Below are 6,000 nucleotides of genomic sequence, written 5' to 3' on the forward strand. Positions count from 1 at the left end.
AGTGGCAGGCAGTTGGGATTCAAGTCCTGTGTGATCCAAAAACCTATGTTCATTGTATTACATAACACTGCCTTTCCATGATGCACGTATCTATAAAGGAGTATTTTTCCTGCCTTAGAGGTTTCAGGCATGCCATTTACTCTGCCTTGAATACTCTGCCTTGAACAGCAATTTATATGTCCAATCTTTGATAAAACGTTATTACTGCCTGGCCCTACCACCTGCCCGAATTGGGTCCCCATAGGTATTATTTCGTAATATGCCTTTTCCCCCTACTAATCATTTAGCAGTCTATAATCAGACATCTAACAGTGTATCCTTGATCGTTCTGTCTGTCTCCACATACTGGAAGGCCCATTAGGGCAGGGACTGTATCTGTTTCATTCACCACTTTTTGCCCAGCACCTGGCCTAGTGGCTGCCACAAAATGCAAAGCAGGTTTCCAGGAGTTAGGAGAGTGGTGTCAGTAAACACTTGGTGAATGATTACTGATGGCTAATATTAATGGACATTAAAAGAAGTGCACAGCTAAATGAAATTTCTGGGGAATATGTGTTTTATAGATAGAAACATCCATGTATCATGCACTTAAAATGTGTTGAGGATGTGCTATGGGCCTTACATGTATTATTTAACACTCACAACAGACTCATCAGAAAAGGGCCATTGTTATTTCCCCTTCTACAGATGCAGAAATTGGGGCAAGTAGGATTAAGTAACTGTTGACAATCACATAACCAAGTAAGAAAACTCCCCACTCACAAACCAGAGAAAAAAATATAAAATAGAAAATACACGACCAAAATACATCATCTGTTCAAGGCTCGTGTGAATAAATCTAAAAACCTTTCTTGAGGAATATATTAATACCTATATACAGATATATATATACATACATACACAAATATATATATATATATACACACACACACACACATATACACACACACTTCACCATCTGTTCTATCTGTTTCTGGATAGGATGATTCAGCATTATAAAGTTACTAATTTTTCTGTAATTAATTTATAATTAAGGTAATTACATTAAAATCCAAATATGACATAAAGTTTTTTTACAAACTGATGTTATAATCCATCTGCACGAATAAATAGATGAAGTATTCAGGAGAAAAGTAAAAAAATTAAGAGAAATGAGGGCATGTTTACCATACCAGATATTGGTGAGGTAAAGTTGAAATAATTAAAATATTGTAGTGTTGGCTTAAGTATAGACAGAGAGAACAATGGAGGAGGACTGATGGCTGATAACTTGTTGGATAAGTTGAATATATTTGGGGGAGGGGCGTAAACTTACACGTTTGCTTCATCTCACATACCCAAATATATTTCACATGGGTTAAAGTGTGAAATTTTAAAACATAAGACCATTAAAAAGACTAGGAGAGAATGATTGTTGAAAGATCCGATGATAGAAACAATTATTATAAAAAACCACTATTTTTGACTAAATAAGAAATCACTATTTCATAAATAAAGTAGCATTGTACAGAGAAACTAATATTTGGGGGGCTAAACAGAACAAGCTTTAGGTATATGAAAGGATATATAAATTGGAGAGATTATTAATTGTCCCTGAAGTTAAGATATAAGTTTCCTTTAAGAAAAAAAAAAAAAAACTGCTACTAACAAAAATGACCAATAACAGACCAGGAAAATGGTTTTAAACATGCTAGATACAAGGGTAAATAGAAAAACCTATTACTGATTAAATGCTAAATTACTAACATCTTGTTCCAGATTGGGTTTGCCAGGAAACAGACTGAGTAGGAAAATTTTAAGTAACCAATTTCCTTGGAAAGTGCTCTGGAGATCAATGCATGTAGGGCGTGAGGAAAGCAGGAAGAGACAGAGGGAGGAATTCTATTGCCTCCCTCCCCTCCCAGGAGAGCTTTCGAGCTGGGATGACCCTTCAGAGAGGGCGCTCTTTAAGGCAGAGGTCCAAAGTATTCGTCTGTTTTCACACTGCTATACAGATACTACCTGAGACTGGGAAATTTACAAAGGAAAAAGGTTTAATTGACTCACAGTTCCACATGGCTGGGGAGGCCTCAGGAAACTCACAATCACGGTAGAAGGCGAAGGGGAAGCAAGCACCCGGTTCACAATGCAGCAGGAGAAAGAAGAGTGAGGAGCGAAGCGGGAAGAGCCCCTTATAAAACCATCAGATGTGGCGGGAACTCACTCACTATCAAGAGAACAGCATGAGGGAAACCGCCCCCATGATCCAATCACCTCCCACCTGGTCCCTCCCTGGACACATGGGGATTGCAATTTGAGCTGAGATTTGAATTGCCAAACCATATCAACCAAGATTTTACTCCTGCATTGACCAGGCATTAGTCACAGGTGGGGGTGGGGAAGGGGAGAAGGAGACGTGATCTTTGTCAGGGATTCAACTAACAATCATTGGATACCAACACTCTTGACAGCTGGGAGAAAAAGTGCCTCGGTCTTGAAAGGGGAATGTGGATGGCATACCATGGCATTCGCTGTGCATCCTAATGGAAATATGAAAAAAGGATAGGAGCAGACTCATCCCTCCAAATTAAATTCATATGACCAATACAAATAAATATGCAGCAGTATTACCATTACTTAAAGCCATGCAATCAAGACAAAAAGATACCTTTATGCTATTGTATGAATGCGTTCTCTCCAAAATTCAGGTGTTGCCACTGTGATAGTATTAAAAAGAAGAGACTTTAGGAGCTGGTTAGGCCATGAGGGCTTTGTACTTATTGCTGGGATTAAAGCCCTTATAAAAAAGAGGCTTCAGGCAGTGCTGGACCCAGGAAAGTGCCCTTTTCCCACCATGTGAGGATATAGAGTTCTACCTCTCTGAAGAATGCAGCAGTTATCAGACAACAGACCCAGCCAGCACCTTTACCTTAGACTTACCAGTTTCCAGAACTGCGAGCAAATAAACTCTGTCCTTTATAAACCACCCAGTCTCAGGTATTCTGTTTCAGTGGCACAAACAGACTAAGACACTATATTTACTTACTTCACTTTATTTACTTATTTCAATGAATTAGCAACAATTTTCAATTTTCAAATAATACACTGAAGGATATCAGGGATACACTGACATGGACAGAATCATACTTTTTTTTTTTATACTTTAAGTTTTAGGGTACATGTGCACAACGTGCGGGTTAGTTACATATGTATACATGTGCCATGTTGGTGTGCTGCACCCATTAACTCGTCATTTACATTAGGTATATCTCCTAATGCTATCCCTCCCCCCTCCCCCCACCCCACAACAGGCCCCGGTGTGTGATGTTCCCCACCCTGTGTCCAAGTGTTCTCATTGTTCAATTCCCACCTATGAGTGAGAACATGCGGTGTTTGTTTTTTTTGTCCTTGCGATAGTTTGCTGAGAATGATGGTTTCCAGCTTCATCCATGTACCGAATCATACATTCTTTAGAGTGAGTATAAGTTGGTGCGATTTGAAAATATATGTCAGAAAATATGCATTAGCTCAAATACTATAACACATTTTAGTAGCAAACCTAAACAAAAATGTAGTTGAGCTCAAATCACTGTGCTGCTGAAGTTCCCCAGTGGTACACCAGGGTACATGGAATAAATCTCAGGCTCCTAACCATGACTGATGAAGCTGTACATGACCAGTCACTGCCTACCTCATCCCTCCCACTCTTGGCTTCACCCCTGTGCTCCAGTTCACTAGTTTTCTTCGTGTTCTTCAAATTTGCTAAGTTCCATCCCACCTCAGAGTCTTTACACTGACAAAAGCTCGGTTCTCACAAAATGAATACATAATAAAATGAAGTTCTGTATCAGAACTCCAGTAGGTTATGAGCTGGATCTGTTCCATCTGATTCCCTAGATCAGCAGTCCCCAATCTTTTTGGCACCAGGGACCTGTTTTGTGGAAGACAATTTTTCCACAGATTGGGGGCATAGTTTTAGGATGAAATTGTTCCACCCCAGATCATCAGGCATTAGTTAGATTCTCCTAAGGAGCATGAAACCTAGATCCTTTGCATGTGCCGTCCGCAATAGGGTTCTGGCTTTTATGAGAGTCTAATGCCTCCGCTGATCTGACAGGAGGCGGAGCTCAGGCGGTCATGCTCACTGTTTTGGCCGCTCATCTCCTGCTGTGCGGCCCAGTTGCTACCAGGCCACAGACTGGTACTGGTCTATGACCTGAGGGTTGAAGACCCCTGCTCTAGATGCACCCCTCCCTTCTCCATCCTGCTCTGTACCCCAGGAAGCTGATCTATATGGACTGCATACATGCCCTCTCTTTATCTCTGCTTCCCAGTTGGGTTTGGCCAGTAAGGAGGCACTGGCAGGAGTTCTAGAAGTAGGAAGGGAGTGACGTTAGGGCATTCGTTTCTCTGGCTTCCTCCCAGCTGAGTGCCAAGGGCTGGTTGTGGCCTTCTACAGAAAACTCCAAGTCCTGTTGGTAACCCTGTCTTAGGACTCAAGTAACCTCTGCCTTCCCTTCAACTTTCAGATCCACTGGTTACCATGGCTCCCTGCTGTAGCTAGCTTGAAGGGGCGTCACCATCCTTTTTCAGTACCCCTTATATAACCTACAGCCGTTCCTTTATTAAACCCTCCCTAATTATCTAGGGGAATGTGTCATTTGTTTTCTGTCAGGACACTTACAGACATAGATTTATGTTTGGAACTGGATAAAATGATTTTAATGTTTATAGAAAAGAATAATTGTGCAAGAATAGCTAAATCCTTTGTGAAAAAGAAAAGTGAAGAGAGATTTGCCTAACCAGATATAAAAACTTACACTAAAATAATACTATGGTACTAACATAGAAATAGAAAATAGATGACAAAAACAGAATTGAAAATCTAAAACAAAAGCCTCAAAGATAAACAGGAACCAATTTTGCTTCAGTGAGGAAATAATAATTTATTAATTAATGGTGCAGAGATAATTCTTATCAGGTAGAAAACTAATTTAGACATTTATCTTCCATCAGATAAAAAATAAATTTCAGATAGATTTAGGATATAAGGGTAAAAAATAAAATAATAAAGATTAGCAAAAATTTACTATATATATTTTTAAATAAATATATATTTTTTATAAATCTTCCTAAGCAAGGAAGAATGTAAGATGTAATAAATTAAAAATTATAAGAACATTTTTTAAAATTAAAACGTATTAAGTGGAAAGACATATAACCAGTGAAAAAGTCAAATCACAGATGAGAAAAATATTTGCAACACTTGTGACAGACAAAATGTTGTAACTGCATGTACAAATTGCTTTAAAATGCAATACGAAAATGCCAAGTGTGGTGGCTCACACCTGTTGGCCTACATATGTTGGAGGCTGAGGTGGGAGGATCATTTGAGCTGAGAGTTCAAGGCTTCAGTGAACTGTGGTCACGCCACTGCACTCCATCTTGGACAACAGCAAGACACTGTCTCCAGAAAAAAACAAAAAAAAAACAACTATAGAAAAAATGTGCAAAAGATAGTAATAGGGATTAATAGGAGATATCCAAATAGTTTAATATTTGGATATTTTAATATTTCAAATATCCAAATATTTAAAATGCTGCTCAAACTTAACTAAATTAGGGAAAAGCACATTAAAATAACAATGAGGCCTGAAGTTTTTCTCATACGACTGGCTAAAATTACAAAAGATTTGTAACATCTAGTTCCTAGAAAGAATACTGAAGAAATGGCATTCTTATTTATTAGTGGCGTGATGTGAATTACCAGCAAAAATTGAAAAATTACACAAAAATATCTATTAAACCCTTAAAAATTGACCCATCAGTCTCACTTTGGGCAATGTATCCAAGGGAAAGAAAAGCATCAGTATAGGAAGATGTAAGGAAAAGAGTGTGTATTGCCACATTATTTGTGGTAGAAAACACTAGAAACCACTAATTCAATTCATCACTAGTAGAATTGAGTAAATTCTGGTTTGCCATTATTATGGAATATTGCATAACTATGTATATAAATAG

Source organism: Homo sapiens, chromosome X (genome assembly GCF_000001405.40).
Source record: "Homo sapiens chromosome X, GRCh38.p14 Primary Assembly".
In the NCBI taxonomy this organism is placed as follows: domain Eukaryota; kingdom Metazoa; phylum Chordata; class Mammalia; order Primates; family Hominidae; genus Homo; species Homo sapiens.